The following is a 15,770-nucleotide window of genomic DNA, read 5'->3' on the forward strand; positions in this document are numbered from 1 at the left end:
TCATTTTCTCAAAAATGTAATGAATCACAACATTTTAGAACTGGAAACGTGCTTGCTGGTCACCTCAGCCATCTCCCTCATTTTATGGTAGAGGAAACTCAGGTACAGAGTGGTAGAGTGATTTTTACAGGGAAGAACCAGACCAGGCCTGGAGCCACTACAAAGTCCAGGCCAAGAAGCACAGGAAGCCCCTGTAGCAAGCTCCAATGGGCTTTCACTAATAAAGATGGAAGTGCGTGTCCAGAACGACCAACGTATTACATCTGAGAGCAGAGGCTTTATTTACAATGACATTCAAACAGGATTTAGCAAAGGATGCCTCTTCCTGCTCGCATCTTAGCAGCATGGGTTGTACTTCATAAACAGAAAAGAGAAATATCCTGGGAGCAGGAAGTGAACTCTTTTCTCAGATAATGTTCTCTAAATCCCAACACGTTCCATGCTCCCGGCTCTTAGCAGGTAGTTGGTGGACACTTGGTTATAGCAGCTGGGTGCCAGATGCCTGCATCTCACTGAGGAATGTGTTCAGGGAAGATGTCAACACTGGCCGGGAAAAACATCAGGCTTTCACCTCACTCATGGCCTCCATAAGGCGAGCGCTGTTTGTGACTGCTGTCGTCAGGAAAATGAACCTGTAGCCTAAGGAGTCAAATGCAGCAGCAGAAGAGACAGCACAGATCTTAGGCCCCAACGGCAACCCATAGAGCCTCTCCAGTTCCACAGTCCCCACGGGATCACAGCACCAGTTTATAGACAGAGACGTGAGTGCCATGCTCTTGGGCACCACTGCTTTCTATGACTGGTATAACTGGGCTCCCTGCTGTGGCAGCCCAGAGTTAAGGCTATGGCAAGTTGTATTCTGAGGCCAGGAGAAAAATATTCCTGTGCAGGACACTTTGCGTGTTTTTTTTTTTTCTCTTGAGATGGAGTTTTGCTATTGTTGCCCAGGCTGGAGTGCAATGGTGCAATCTCAGCTCACTGCAACCTCCACCTCCCGGGTTCAAGCAATTCTCCTGCCTCAGCCTCCCGAGTAGTTAGCATTACAGGCACCGGCCACCATGCCTGGCTAATTTTTGTATTTTTCGTAGAGATGGGGTTTCACCATGTTGGTCAGGCTAGGCTCTAACTCCTGACCTCAGGTGATCTGCCCGCCTCCGCCTCCCAAAGTGCTGAGATTACAGGTATGAACCACCGTGCCCAGCTGACACTTTGTTACCCAGATACAATGCAGGCCAATTCTCACCTTTCTGCTCTCTCTTACCTTTCTCTCTGCCCAGGAACCGGAGGGCTGAGATCTCAGAGAATGTACAACCACCCAAGAACACCACCAAGATGAGGCGCAGGGACTCACTGGAAGCCTTGTCTTCCTTAGTCATATCTGTGAGGATCAGACCAGATTCAGCCCTTCCCTGACATGCTAGTCCTGAGTGGTGCATCCAGCCCACCTCTCACTGCCAGCCTACCCCACTGTTAATGCCACATACCTGTGAATGCAAAGTCACTGCAGTTGAGCAGCCGTACCACCTCATCAAGGCCCTGCCAGCTTCGCCGCTCTAGCACCTGGGAAGGTGTAAGCACTGTTTTTAAGGCTACAGACAGTATCAGGCTTAGGAAAGGAAGGGCACAGCAGCCAGACTGTCACATTTCTTGCTCATTACTCAAGTAGCAAAAAGTTGAGACAGGGCCAGGTGTGGTGGCTCACGCCTGTAATTCCAACACTTTAGGAGTTTGAGGCGGGGGGATCACCTGAGGTCAGGAGTTCGAGACCAGCCTGGTCAACATATAGTTGGCCCTGTCTATATGAAACCCCATCTCTACTAAAAATACAAAAATTAGCTGGGTGCAGTGGCACATGCCTGTAGTCCCAGCTACTTCGGAAGCTGAGGCAGGAGAATCACTTGAATCTGGGAGGTGGAGGTTGCAGTGAGCCAAGATCGTGCCACCGCACTCCAGCCTGGGTGACAGAGCAAGACTCCATCTCAAATAAAAAAAAAAAAACATTGAGACACGCCAGGGACCAAGAGAAAGCAGAGAGAATGAAATATGAATGGGAGCAAGAATTACATGCTCTCACCTGCTCAATGATTCGGCAGCTCAGGGGCACATAAGCACCACCGAAGACGTAAGCCATGTCTCGGGGCACTTTCAGATCATACTCGCCGTCCACACGTGGGATCTGTAAGACAAAGGGACTTCATTAGGCAAGTGACAGCTCAGCTCCCTAACCCTTTAAAGGGTCAGATAAAGTGGCATGGCCCAAGGAACAATTCTTATTTCAACTAAAGGGAGAACCAGCAATAGCCCTGAAAAGAGAATCCATAACGGAAGATGGCAGTTTTTGTTCAGTAACTGCCAGTTCTCTGGAATGAGTTCCCATGCGCCATTATTGAATAATGTAAAGGGGCTGGAGGGATGGCTTCTCCTTTCCCTACCCTTAAGTGACACAGGATATGGTTGTCACTGAAGCAGCACTTAGAATATTCTCTGGCATTGGCAGGTGCTTGTTACATGTTGATTAAATGAATGAATCTACCATGCTATAAGACTACCAAACAAAAGAATCTTTATACACATGAAATGACAAAAAGGTTTTTGTGGATTCAAAGTACTCCACAATGGGCTGGGCGCAGTGGCTCATGCCTGTAATCCCAGCACTTTGGGAGGCCGAGGTGGGCGGATCACCTGAGGTCAGAAGTTCAAGACCAGCCTGGCCAACATGGGGAAACCTTGTCTCTACTAAAAATACAAAAATTAGCTGGGCGTGGTGGCACATGCCTGTAATCCCTTGGGAGGCTGAGGCAGGAGAATCACTTGAACCTGGGAGGCAGAGGTTGCAGTGAGCTGAGATTGTGCCACTGCACTCCAGCCTGGGCAACAGAGCAAGATTCCATCTCAAAAAAAAAAAAAAAAAAGAAAAGTACTCCACAATGGAATGAACCCACTGTCTCCCCTAACCATCCCTGTTCCACATACCAAATTCAGCTTTTTGCTGATGGCACGAAAATTGCTCCTCTTGGCCAGAGAACTGAAGGCATCAGTAATCTTTCCTGGGGAAGAAATCTGTGTCAGGTTTCACCTAAGGTCTATGGATTCATGACACTGCCACAGATAACACCATTCAGGACACGACAGCACCAATCACATCCAAAAACTCTCGGAAGCTGTTCAACTATAATTCCCTGGAACTAATCAAGATATACTCCCCACCCTTCTCCCCACCCACAGTCTTCCCCCTCCTACGGGGTACCAGCTCTCTACTAAATGCAATCCACAGGGTAACCCGAGTTTATTGGTATGTGCTTTGGGAGTTAAACCGACCTAACTTACTAACTAAGGGACCTTGGACAAATCACTTAATTCTCTAAGCCTCAGTTTCATCATAAAATGAGGATGAGAAAATTTATCTCACAGTCTTTGTGAGATTAAATGAGAAACTAAAGGGCTCAGCACATGGTAAGTGTTTACTATGTGGAAACTGCTCTTACTAGCAGAAGTAGTAGTAATAATAGTAATGACATTAATAGGAAGGAATCAGTCCACCTTCTCCAATTCATTCTGTCCCTCCCAGCATGCTGCGTGTTGAGAGAAGTCAGGACAACAGCTGGAGCAGGGGTCACTTGTGCTCCCTGCTTACCTGCAGCCTTGTCGGTCACCAGCTTGCTCACTTTACTCTCCACGGCTGTGAGGGTGTCCCCGGGGGCCTGCTCCGTTAGGAGCCCAGCTCTTCGCAGATTGGAGAAGGTTAGCAGGTGCTCAGGGCCATAGCTCTGAAGAAGATGCAATTAGACTATTTACTGAGTGTCCAAAGAGCATCTAGTACTGTCAGGTACTACAGAGTTGAGCAGAAGGACTATGAAGCCTCTGCTGCAGTGTGAAGGAGCTCACACTTTGTTGAGATAAATTTTCACATCAGAAATAACCAAACAGGGCTGGGAGCGGTGGCTCATGCCTGTAATCCCAGCACTTTGGGTTTGGGAGGCCAGGGCAGGCAGATCACTTGAGGTCAGGAGTTTGAGACCAGCCTGGCCAACATGGTGAAACCCCATCTCTACTAAAAATACAAAAATTAGATGGGCATGGTGGCTCGTGCCTGTAGTCTCAGCTCCTCAGGAGGCTGAGGCACAGAAATGCTTGAACCTAGGAGGCAGAGGCTGCAGTGAGTGGAGATCGCGCCACTGCACTCTAGCTTGGGCAACAGAGCGAGACATCGTCTCGAAATAAAAAAAAAAAAAAAAAGAAAAGAAATAATTAGCACCAAACAAAGAAGAATAAAAAGCAGCATGAGACTTTAGAGACCCATGGATGTATGGGAAAGGCTTCCTGGATGAAGTAAGACTTGAGAAGTACCAGGAAGGAAAGCTGAATCAATGCCTCACACGGTGCTAAAATGAGGGAGACTCCCAGGAGAAAGAACTCACACTGGGGCCAGCACTGAAATGTTTAATTCTCAGCACTGGCCATGCGCCGTCAGTGTGTGGGGTGAAACAAGGGTAGAGGGCAGAGAGGCGTGCTGAAAGGTGACTCTCCCTAGTAGCTCTAAGAGGGAGGCCTGAATGGAAACAGGAGGGTAATGGAGGCAGGAAAGGGGCCACTTCTCTTGCCTCTTTCAAAAATGCCCAATAACTGCCCTCCATCAAGTTCCCTCAAGAATACATTCTCCAGGCCTTACCTGCAGATACTGTGTTTTCAGAGATCGGTAATCCTTGGGGATCAAACCTAAGAGTGAAGAAAATAAGACAGGTGCATGAGAAAGAGGCCGGCAGAGGCACCCTAAAATGTACAGATCAACCAGCAACGAACGCCTTCTTCAGGAGGAAGGATTCAGTAAATGTTAACCCTGCAGAGTATACATTTGGTTCTAAATTTAAGCTTGCTTATTGAAAGATAAAGCCTTGGTCTGGGAGCTCCCAAGAAGAGCTGTGAAACATAAGGGTGCTGAGGAGGGGACACTGGAACTAACGGTGATCGTAGTGGGATGTGGGGAGGATGCAGCAGGAGGGAGGAGAAGTGACGACTCATGCATTTATTTATTTATTTATTTAGAGATGGAGTCTTGCTCTGTCACTCAGGCTGGAGTGCAGTGGTGCGATCTTGGCTCACTGCAACCTCCGCCTCCCGGGTTCAAGCCATTCTCCTGCCTCAGCCTCCTGAGTAGCTGGGATTACAGGCATGCGCCACCACACCTGGCTAATTTTTGTATTTTTAGTAGAGACAGGGTTTCACTATGTTGGTCAGGCTGGTCTCCAACTCCTGATCTCAAGATCCGCCTGCCTTGGCCTCCCAAAGTGCTAGGATTACAGGCATGAGCCACCGCACCTGGCAGACTCATGCATTTCTTTCTGGCTAAGGGGCAGTTCTACTAGGAACTGCTTCACAACTATTGAGAAATAGGAAAAGTGTTCAAATGAGTTCCAAAAGCACGGTCTTATATGTTTTTCTCCATAGAGGTAATAATAACTGGGATTCTAACTGCAGTAAATGAGATTTAGAATAAGCAAATACTTCTCTGAGTAGAAAGCAACCTTTGGCCGGGCACAGTAGCTCACTCCTGTAATCCCAGAACTTAGGGAAGCCGAGGCAGGTGGATCACCTGAGGTCAGGAGTTCCAGACCAGCCTGGCCAACATAACAAAACCCTGTCTCTATTAAAAATACAAAAATTAGCTGGGTATGATAGCGTGCATCTGTAGTCACAGCTACTTGAGAGGCTGAGGTGAGAAATCGCTTCAACCTGGGAGGTGGAGGTTGCAGTGAGCCGAGATCGTGCCATTGCACTCCAGCCTAGGCAACAGAGCAAGACTCTGTCTTAAAAAAAAAAAAAAGAAGAAAAAGAAAAAGAAGGCAACCTTCAAGAATATTCACCAACTAGAAGACTTCAACAGTAAAAACAAGTTGCCATGAAGGTTGCACAATCTGGAATTTTAGAAATGTTCATGAAAACTAGCTGGGCGTGGTGGTGCACACCTGTAGTCCCAGCTACTCAGGAGGCTGAGGCAGGAGAATCACTTGAACCCAGGAGGTGGGGGTTGTGGTGAGCCGAGATCGCACCACTGTACTCCAGCATGGGTGACAGAGCGAGACTCTTGTCTCAAAAAAATAAATAAATAAAATAAATGTTCATGAAATTAACTTGCTGTCCCTTTTTCCTGGAATGTATCTTTATCTTATTGAAAATAAGGACAGATGGAGTGATGAGAGAAATGCCACTCAGCTCTGCACCCCTGCAGTCCTAAGATATGACAAGGCTCTAGGGTGGCCTGGATGTGGTCCCGCTGAGGGCTAAAGCAATAAATTACCCTGTGTCCTGGTGATAATTCACCCCAAACAAAAAAGAATCCATTAAATTACAGGGAAACATTCTGTTTGCTAAGACATTTGCCTTAGCCTTTCAAAATCACTTCTTCTGTCCCTAAGGCATAGTTTCTCAATCTGACATTCTCATCTTCAGTCTTTTGGGCTCACCATTCTCAGTGATGGACAAAAGGCACATGAGGCGCAGGCTTTCTATAGGCGACACCTGCATAGGAAGAAAGAATCAAGGAGAATTGAAGCTTCACAACACGTGTTCTTTTCCTTCTGCTTAAGGCCGACCCCACCTCTAAATGCCATTCTTGGCACCCCCAGCCCTCCACCTGCGCACCTGCCGGTCTATGTGTTCCTCAATGTAGCTGGTGCTCTCCCGGATGTTGAACCCCTCTAGCAGTGCTGTGAGTAATCAGAGGAGAGCCTGTTACTGGGGGCCAGCTCAGCTGCTGCCATCTATGCTAACAGGTGTCTGTCTCCCCATCTCTTTCTCCATCCTTGGGGTGGGTTAAGGGACCCCCAGGACTTCTAGCAGGAACCAGCATTCCACATAGCCAGTGTCAGCTGGAAAGAGCCAGAGAACATCTTTTAAGGGTGGGACGGGGCTGGGAGCTGGGGAAGTAGAAGCGTGGGCAGTAGCACAGCAAGGCTGCGGCAGTTACCATGCTCAGTCTTGATTAGCTCCTGGAAATCCTGCTTGGTTTTCTTCTTCATGATGGATTCACAGGCCCCAATATCTGCAGGTTGGACAAAGGGAGCTGACATACTCCTGGTTCTAGAAAGATGTCCCTTTATTGTCCGGAAGAATAAAAAACCTCCTAAGGCAAAATCCGAAAGCACTTCTTCCCACTTTACACCAAGTAAGACCATATGCATCAGATGAACAGGGATCTCCTCCTCGGGAGTAATGGTCCTCTGGAGCTTTCCCCAGAGGGACACAGTCACTTCCCCTCACGCCCCTCAAGCTGAAACCTACGGAGACTCAGCAGGCGGTGCTCCTGTTTCAGGCCCTTGAGCTCCTGGGACACGAAATTCTTCATCTGCTTAATGTCCATGCCTCTCCGGCGCTGTGGGAAAATTCCCAAAGGTGAACCCCCCAACCTCAGACACGAGAAACCACCACCCTCCCTCAGTTGCCATCCATCCATGAGAAAGGACAGGGAACCTGTCATAGTATTAGAAGGGGAGCCCAAGGGCAGCAGCCTTGGGAAGCCACTGAGGCAACAAAACAGAGGAGCAGGGCTTGGAGCCTCACATCATACTGGGCCTGCAAGTTCCGGGCCTTCTGGCTCAAGAAGCCAAAGACATTGGAGAAGTGCTCGTTCCGAATCTCATTAAACACCTGTGAGGACAGTAAGACAAGAACAGCTTACTCTGTCAGAACCATAACTTAGCAGTAGAATGACAGTACAGGAAGGGTACTCAGGTGTTCTGGCAGAAATACAAAGAAAGCTGAGCTGGGATCTGTAAGTCCATATCAAATGCCTACACCGTGTTCTAGGAGATGCTCTGAACTGGTGGGGAAACCCTCTCTCCCATAGACTCAGCCTCCCCTCTCAGAGCTGGGGCCCACAGCCTGGTATAAGCAGGGGGCCCACAGCCTGGTATAAGCAGTGGCCCTAGGTGGGCCCATTGCTAGCACCCACACCCTCACCTTGTCCTCGGCATTGAGTAGCACCTTCAGGCTCTTGTCAGAGGATGTGACTTCTGGGCCAAAGTCGACACTCCCTTTGAGAGCAGAGGGACAGCTATTAGGATCTCCAATGAGGACTTCTCCTACCATTCCCTGAACTGCCATAAAGGTCCTCAAACTATTTGGAAGCCAGCAGTTCATTCAGGGTCTGGGTCTCTCCCACAAACCCTGCCCCACGTGGGAGGTGCCAAGGCTGATGACCCGTCCATCTTGCCAAGATGCAGAGGACCATAGCACTTACCACACTTGATGCGGAAGGTGTCATCTACTAGGCCCTCATAAACCACTTGGGAGCAAAGTGCTGTCACAAAGTCCACATCTGAAACAGAGATCCCTGACCATGAAGGTTCTCCCTGACCCAGCCTTCTACACAGCATGTCCAAGGGCAGCTTTGATACTTTCCATAGGGCCAAGGACCCACGCTCCTCAAAGCTGGGATTCACAGCCCTAACTTTAGGATTTTAACTTTGCCACCACGCCTTCCATATTCCCGTGTCTTCTAGGGCTGAAAGATGACAGGAACGCTGGGCATAATTTACCTCTGTCCAAGAGAAAGATATGTCCAATCTCTGGCCTTCGGCCCTTGGTTTCGCCATCCTCCTCCTCCTCCAGGTTCCTCCACAATTCATATGCCATCTGCCAGGGCCCAAGACATTCTCAGTCTTGTGTCCAGGTCCCTACTGCAGCCCCATACCTACAGAAGTCAGCCCTTTCCACGTGATACTTCCTCTTGTCCCCGAGACAGGAGCTAATTATTCACAATATGGCCCTATCTACTCCCGTCTGTGTCTATCTTTCCCCAACACTCTTCCTACTGATGAGAAGATGTGTTACTCTGTCCCCAAAATAAAAAGAGATTTAGGAATGCTACCCAGGAGATCCTGGCTTTTGCTTCTCTGTTAGCCACACAAGTTCTCCTCTCTGAGGATCTATTCCAGAACAATGAAAGCAAAGTAAAGAATACACCTCATATCACAGGTGCCCTTGGATAACCCCAGGAGGGTACAGAACAGGGAAAACAGCGTCTGCTGGGACAACAGTACTGCTAGTGCTCTTACCTTGGCGCACCTGCCAATTCCATAGCAGTTTGGAAAGGGTCCATAGAGAGTGCTGAGAAGGTGTAAGGCCTGAGCTACAGTGTTGATCCAACGCTGATCTCCTTCCTGCAGGGACCACACAAGCCACAAAGATATGAATCAACCCAGTAGGACCACCTGGAAAGTGGCTAGCCCTAGAAGCCCTGGAGCAGGGTGGCAGGGCCTGGGGGATGCTTGAAAGGTTTTCATTGGCTCCACAGGAAGTCCCACAGAGACCAATCTGTAGCACTCAATCACCACATCACTATCACTTGTGATAAATTACTTGCGTTGGACAAAGGTTATATTGGTATTTCTAGCCCTCTGCATCCCACATTTGTCCCCATCCCCTGATGCCAAGACACAAGGGCCTCTGCATTTACCAGAAAGTAATCCCTGAAAAATTCTGGTAGTTCCATGCTCAGCAGATCCACATCAAGAGGCAGCAAAGAGAAGGCCCATTCATCACAGCTCACATCTGTGGGGACAGAGAGCATCAGCCTCCCTGCAGAAGGTACTTAGCTCCACGTTAAGAGGGAAGGTCCGCCACAAATATTTGAGTGCGTGCAACAAATATATGAGTGCCTGCCACATGCCAGTACTGCATTAAGCAATGGAGGCTCAAAGAAGAATAAGACACAGTCCCTGCCCTTAAGGAGCTCACAGTCTGATAAGGAAAGGAGATGTGTCCACAGCAGCCTGTAATACAATGTGATAAGTGGTGGGTTTTTACTAGAGGGCTGACCAAAAGTGCCGAGAAAACATTCATTCATTCATTATTTATTTATTTATTTAGAGATGGAGTTTAGCAATTTTCATCCAGGCTGGAGTGCAATGGTGCAGTCTCGGCTCACTGCAACCTCCGCCTCCTGGGTTCAAGCAATTCTCCTGCCTCAGCCTCCCAAGTAGCTGGGATTACAGGTGCACGCCACCATGCCCAGCTAATTTTTGTATTTTTGGCAGAGACGGGGTTTTGCCATGTTGGCCAGGCTTGTCTCAAACTTCTGACCTCTGGTGATCTGCCTGCCTTGGCCTCTCAAAGTGCTGGGATTACAGGTGTGAGCCACCACGCCCAGCTCACTCATTCATTATTCAGCATATATTTACTGAAAGCTGCCTACATGTAGGACTGTATGAACACCAGAGATACAGCAGTGAGCAAAATGGACATGCTCCCAACCTTCTGGAGCTTACAGTCTAGTGAGGGAGACACACCAGACAAATTATGACACAAACTATTAAATCACGGTTGTGCTCCAAAGAGGTCAAACAGCAAGCTGTGAGCACATATATTAAAGGGATGTAACCACAACTGGGGGTATAGGAAAGACTTCCCTCAAGAAGAGAAAATCAAGCTTAGAATTTGGGTAAGACTCGGGAAGGCAAAAAGCTATAGGGTGGAGAACGTTCTGGGTACCTGGAAAAGCATGGGTAAAGTCTCTCTGGCTGGAGGGTGGCGAGTCAGGAGAAGGAAGCAGCACACGATGAGGCTAATGGGACAGGAGGGGCCAGACTGTGCAAGGGATAGGAGGCATGTTGGGGATTCTGGGCTTTATATTGAGCCGCTGCTATTTCCAGCAGGGAGGGCTGTGATCAGGTTTGGGTTGTGTGGAGAATAGCGGAGGAATACACAGAGGGGAGGCCCAGTTTTTCCTGTGGGAGCCTTGGAAGGTGAGAAAAGAGTGGCTGGTCATTTCCAACTCTAAGCCCTGGTGTTCCTTTCATACTACCCCAGGAGTGTTCTTTTCTTATCCTTTCTTTTCCCTCCCTCCCTCTCTCTCTTTCTCTCTTTTCTTTTATTTTCTTTCTCTCTCTCTTTCTTTCTTCCTTCCTTCCTTTCTCTGAGTCTCACTCTTGTTGCCCAGGCTGGAGTGCAATGGCGTGATCTCGGCTCACTGCAACCTCTGCCTCCCGGGTTCAAGCAATTCTTCTGCCTCAGCCTCCCGAGTAGCTGGGATTACAAGCGTGCGCCATCACGCCCAGCTAATTATTGTATTTTTAGTAGAGATGGGGTTTCACCATGTTGCCCAGGCTGGACTCAAACTCCTGACCTCAGGTGATCCACCCCCTCGGCCTCCCAAAGTGCTGGGATTACAGGCATGAGCCACTGCGCCCAGCCCCCAGTAGTGTTCTAATTCGTGGTCCTATTCCCATTCCCATTCTCAGGAACCTCTCCTCCTGCTACACTAACAGGAATAAGACCAGGAAAAGAAGGAGCTGGTGGTGGGGGTGGGGTGGGGGGGTTGGAGAACAACAACAGTTTTTTCTTCTGTATGTTCTCTTTCCCTTTCCACTCACATTCATCTCCTCTCACCTCCATAGATTCCCTCTTCCTCAAGCACCATCTCACACGCATAGAACTGAAAGAGAAAAGGAAATTGATTAGTAACTACCTTCTTCTCTGTTCTCTCCATTTCTCTGGAGTTCCTCTGTGGTCACTGATGAGGACAATAATTGCCGAACCCAGTGAAAGACAAGAGAACCCAGACTCTTAAGATCTAGAAAGAACCATTAGAATCATTCAGCCCAGCACTTCAGTTCTTTCTCATCCATTTAATTTATGTTTGAGTAAATTGCTTCTTATCTCCCTGAGAGAATGGAAGAGGTTTACAAAGGAGAAGGAGTTCAGCTGTCTTCAAAAGGTAAGTTGTACAGACAGAGATGAGAGCAATGGCATGAAGTGCTCTGGAAATTGTGGAGGAGCAGATGGGAGGAAAAGATCTGTACAAGGGAGAGTGAGTTCTGTTTAGGACATGCCCACGGGACCTTGGGAGACACAGACAAGGACTTGGGATTAAGTAGCATATATGCTGTATTTAAAGTGGATGATGTGGCTGGGTGCACTGGCTCACTCCTATAATCCCAGAACTTTGGAAGGCCGAGGCAGGTGAATCGCTTGAGCCCAGAAGTTCTAGACCAGTCTGGGCAACATAGTGACACCCCATCTCTACAAAACAATGCAAAAATTAGCTGGGCATGGTGGTGTGTGCCTGTAGTCCAGTTACTCAGGAGGCTGAGGTGGGAGGATCACTTGAGCCCAGGAGGTCAAGGCTGCACTGAGCTGAGATTGTGCCACTGCACTCCAGCCTGGGCAACAGAGTGAGGCCCTGTCTCAAATAAATAAATAAAGTAGATGGTCTGTCCAAGAGAAAAGAACACGCAGAGGAGAGCTAAGGACAGGACTCTAGGGAACACAAGATGAAAGGGGGCCAGAGTACAGGACCTGGCAGGGAAGACTGAGAAAGAATACTCAGAGAAGCAGGGGCAGGAGAAAACAGCAACAGTCAAGGCAGGAAAGGTGAGAGTTGCAAGGAAGGGTGGGCAACAGTGTCAAATGCCAGGGAAGTTAAGTAGGATTAACATTAAATAGACACCAGTGGATTTGACAACGGAGACCTGAGGGAGACTAGATGAAACGATGAAGGTGGAGATGAGGAAGCAGAAGCAGTGACAATAGAACATTCTTCACAGAAGCCTGGCCCTGAAAGAAGGGGGAGCTCTGAAAGGGAAAAGAGATGAAATGGGAGACATTGTTTAGAAGGCATAGACATGGGTGAAGGCAGAAGAGAAAGTCTACCTGGTAAAGCAAGATAATGGAGAAGGAAAGCAGAAATGGGGCCAAGAACTGGCATGGAACAGCTCATCTTAGGAGGGAAAAGGCCACGATCTCTTCCTCCTTTGAGGTAAGTGGGGAAAGGGTGAATATTTTAAAGTAATGAGAAAGAATGCTGAGGGCACTCACATCTGATAATGAGTTGACATTATTAACAGCTAATGTTGTAAGCCCTTAAAATGGTTTAGGCATTGTTCTTAGTGTTTTACAGGAATCACTTGTCTTCATCTTCATACTAGCTCTGTGAGATGTAGATCAATGCTACGTGCTCCTTATTTTACTGTTACACAGAAGAATCCTATTCCTCCCTCACTCATTTCTGCCAGGAAAACTGAAATCTTCAGGCCTGCTTTTAACTTTTAATGCTAAGTAATGGAATTCCAGAGCCAGGTCTGAAAACTGCCAATCTTCATAATTAACAAAGGAGTCTCAAAGAAGAGAGAGAGATGCCTCCTAATATAAAATTAGGTCAAAGAATTTGATTAGATAAGGTGTTAAGTGGAGAACACTCATAAAAATAACTATTTTGTTTTTCTGTGTAATAGAGAGGCTTGTAGGATTATTTTAACTTGTAGGATTATTCCCTGTTAATACAAATCTGTCCTTGGCCAGGCGCAGTGGCTCATGCCTGTAATCCTAGCACTCTGGGAGGCAGAGGTGGGCAGATTGCCTGAGCTCAGGAATTTGAGACCAGCTTGGGCAATATGGCAAAACCCCACCTCTTTTAAAAATATAAAAAATTAGCCACGCACGGTGGTGCACATCTGTAGTCCCAGCTACTCGGGAAGCTGAGGCAGGAGAATTGCTTGAACCTGGGAGGCGGAGGTTGCAGTGAGTCGAGATTGCGGCACTGCACTCCAGTCTGGGTGACAGAGCAATGCACTGTCTCCAAAAACAAAACAAAACAAAACAAAACAAAACAAGACAAGACAAAACACCAAAGCTGTCCTTGGAAGCATAATTTGAAAAGAAAAAAAAAAAAAAGGTTTGTAAGAGTCCAAGAACTAGAAATTATTGCCATGACTCCTTTAGTAACATTCAAAAGTACCTATAATTCTGAGTGGTTGTCCTACTCAATAATTTCTTGCCCTGGTAATAATACTTCACGTTTGTATTCCTAAGCATATTATCCTAAGATAAATATTTGTAAGATTGTGCTATCAATGTTCAGGTGACATTCAAAGGAAGGTCACTGGCTCTTTCCTCTTATTCCTTTTACAGAAGGAGAAAACAATATAAGCCTAGGGTCCCACTTGATTTCTTATTTCAACAGAGACTCAAAGTCATCTCACTTAAATTAAAAGATAAGTACTATTATCAACTCTATCTTCCAGATGAGAAAACCGAGACACGGAGCAGCTCAGTACCTAACCCAAGACCACACAGGTAATAAGGCCTCAAGGGTGGATTTTATCCAGACAGCCTGGTTTCAGAGGCTTCAGTCCTTAGTTACTGCCTCTATTTTCTCTAGAATTTTCTTAGAAAGATTGAAAAGGAATAAATCCCTGTTCTTCCTAGTCTAGCTTCTACCTTCTGTAAGTATGCATGCACTACTTGCTGTAGCTTTAGAGGCCTATGGTTGGCAAGGTAAAGGCCTGGAACGTCATTCCTCCCAATCACTGGGATTGAGGATGCACGTAGCTGATGTGGAGGTGAGAGGGGAGCTCAATGGAATCAAGAAATGGACAGACTATGATGGACCTCCAAATATGTACTGCAATTATTGAGTTAAAGATGGAAGAGCTCTACTCTGGCTGTGCTAACTCACTGTGTGAGCATGGGCTTCAGTTCCCTCAGCTGCTCAAAGTTGGGGTGGAGTAAAACAGTCTCTAAGGTTCCTTTCCTGTGCAAGAAAAGGCTTTTCCAATATATGGTGGCATGGTTCTAGTAACCCAGGGGCAGCCCAGCCACATCCTTATAAGCATAGCGGATGGGAAGAGGGAGGGTGATGATTTATCGTATTTATTCTTAAAGGGATACAGGGAGAAAGTCACTGGAAAGCCGTAACATTGTGCACCATTACTATACTAGAGTTTGTGTTAGGGATACAGAGCAGGTTCTACCTCGCAAGCGTGAAGCTTTTCATTTAAAAAAATCTACGTAGAGGCCTCTTCGCACAATTCCACAATACTTTATTTGGGACAGTATGATGACAGACCCTCTGCTAAACAAATGAGGATATGTTAATGAATTGAGGATGCGTTAGTGACAGGTATTAGGTTCAATCACACATAATTTGCTTTGAGGGAGTGCTATGGTTTGAATGTGTCTCCCAAAAGTTCATCTGTTGGAAACTGAATCTGCAGTGCAACAGTGTTGGGAGGTGCAGCCTAATAACAGGTGATTGGGTTATGAGGGAGGAGTCCTCATGAATGGATTAATGTCCTTATGGCAGGAGTGGGTTGCTATAAGGCGAGTCCAGCCCCTGGGTGTCTCTTGGTCTCATGTGCTGGCTTCCACCTTCCACCCTTCTGCCATGGGATGACCCTCGCCAGATGCCAGCCCCACAGTCTTGGATTTCACAACCTCCCCAGACCATGAGCTAAATAAATTTCTGTTCATTATAAATTACCTAGTCTCAGGTATTCTGTTACAGCAACAGAAAACGAACGGAGACAGGGAGGTAGTGCTGTTGGCCCCTTACCCCTGCCCGGTCCTCAGTCCTGTTCTACCTTATCCCACTTCCTCCAGGATCCAAACTCACCTTTTGAGGGCTGAAGATCACTTTGTATTTGCGAGTTCGGCCAGCCAATTTGTCAGCATTGACAAGACCTACAGAGAGAAGGAATGCAGCCCAGCAAGTCATGGGCCATCTGTTATGCTAGAAACAGGGAAGCTGCCGGGCACAGTGGTTCACGCCTGTAATCCCAGCACTTGGGAGGCTGAGGCGGGTGGATCACCTGAGGTCAGGAGTTTGCGACCAGCCTGGCCAACATGGTGAAACTCTGTCTCTACTAAAAACACAAAAAATTAGCCCGATCTGGTGGTGGGCACCTGTAATCCCAGCTACTTGGGAGGCTAAGGCAAGAGAATCGCTTGAACCCAGGAGGCGGAGGTTGCAGTGAGCCGAGATCGTGCCATTGCAC

The 15,770-nt window shown here is 47.6% G+C and overlaps 1 protein-coding gene and 1 long non-coding RNA gene across 8 annotated transcripts in view, besides 1 other annotated feature; one reads left to right on the top strand and one right to left on the bottom strand.

Moving 5' to 3' along the window:
- The window catches only part of VPS33B (VPS33B late endosome and lysosome associated), a 24,206-nt gene continuing 8,436 nt past the window's right edge, over positions 1-15,770 (bottom strand). For 4 of the 7 annotated variants that reach the window (XM_005254887.2, NM_001289148.1, NM_001289149.1 and 1 more), the window contains 19 exons: positions 15,389-15,456; positions 11,386-11,431; positions 9,455-9,549; positions 9,054-9,158; positions 8,535-8,631; positions 8,237-8,314; positions 7,957-8,030; positions 7,558-7,644; positions 7,279-7,369; positions 6,965-7,039; positions 6,640-6,704; positions 6,462-6,516; positions 4,670-4,716; positions 3,635-3,767; positions 2,974-3,047; positions 2,075-2,176; positions 1,485-1,560; positions 1,262-1,378; positions 1-639 (listed from right to left, as the gene is read on the bottom strand). In XM_005254887.2, coding sequence (XP_005254944.1) covers positions 560-639; positions 1,262-1,378; positions 1,485-1,560; positions 2,075-2,176; positions 2,974-3,047; positions 3,635-3,767; positions 4,670-4,716; positions 6,462-6,516; positions 6,640-6,704; positions 6,965-7,039; positions 7,279-7,369; positions 7,558-7,644; positions 7,957-8,030; positions 8,237-8,314; positions 8,535-8,631; positions 9,054-9,158; positions 9,455-9,549; positions 11,386-11,431; positions 15,389-15,456 — 1,565 coding nt within the window. In that variant the 3' untranslated portion in view covers positions 1-559. Of the gene's footprint in view, positions 640-1,261; positions 1,379-1,484; positions 1,561-2,074; positions 2,177-2,973; positions 3,048-3,634; positions 3,768-4,669; positions 4,717-6,461; positions 6,517-6,639; positions 6,867-6,964; positions 7,040-7,278; positions 7,370-7,557; positions 7,645-7,956; positions 8,031-8,236; positions 8,315-8,534; positions 8,632-9,053; positions 9,159-9,454; positions 9,550-10,488; positions 10,562-11,369; positions 11,432-15,388; positions 15,457-15,770 lie in introns of those variants that run through there. The other 3 variants (XM_011521449.3, NM_018668.5, XM_047432384.1) reach the window with 3 other exon arrangements.
- Positions 6,167-6,329: a silencer, noted in NCBI's record as "fragment chr15:91547812-91547974 (GRCh37/hg19 assembly coordinates)". NCBI's record gives its function as "represses an EF-1alpha promoter that drives an FKBP-Casp9 reporter gene in an ReSE screen in HepG2 liver carcinoma cells {active_cell/tissue: HepG2}" and the evidence as "EXISTENCE:reporter gene assay evidence [ECO:0000049][PMID:32094911]".
- Positions 12,139-15,255, top strand: LOC105370970 (uncharacterized). Its single transcript, XR_932611.3, has 2 exons — positions 12,139-12,754; positions 14,019-15,255. It is a non-coding gene; the product is annotated as an uncharacterized LOC105370970 (long non-coding RNA).

The sequence above is a fragment of the Homo sapiens genome, chromosome 15 (genome assembly GCF_000001405.40).
Source record: "Homo sapiens chromosome 15, GRCh38.p14 Primary Assembly".
NCBI lineage: Eukaryota > Metazoa > Chordata > Mammalia > Primates > Hominidae > Homo > Homo sapiens.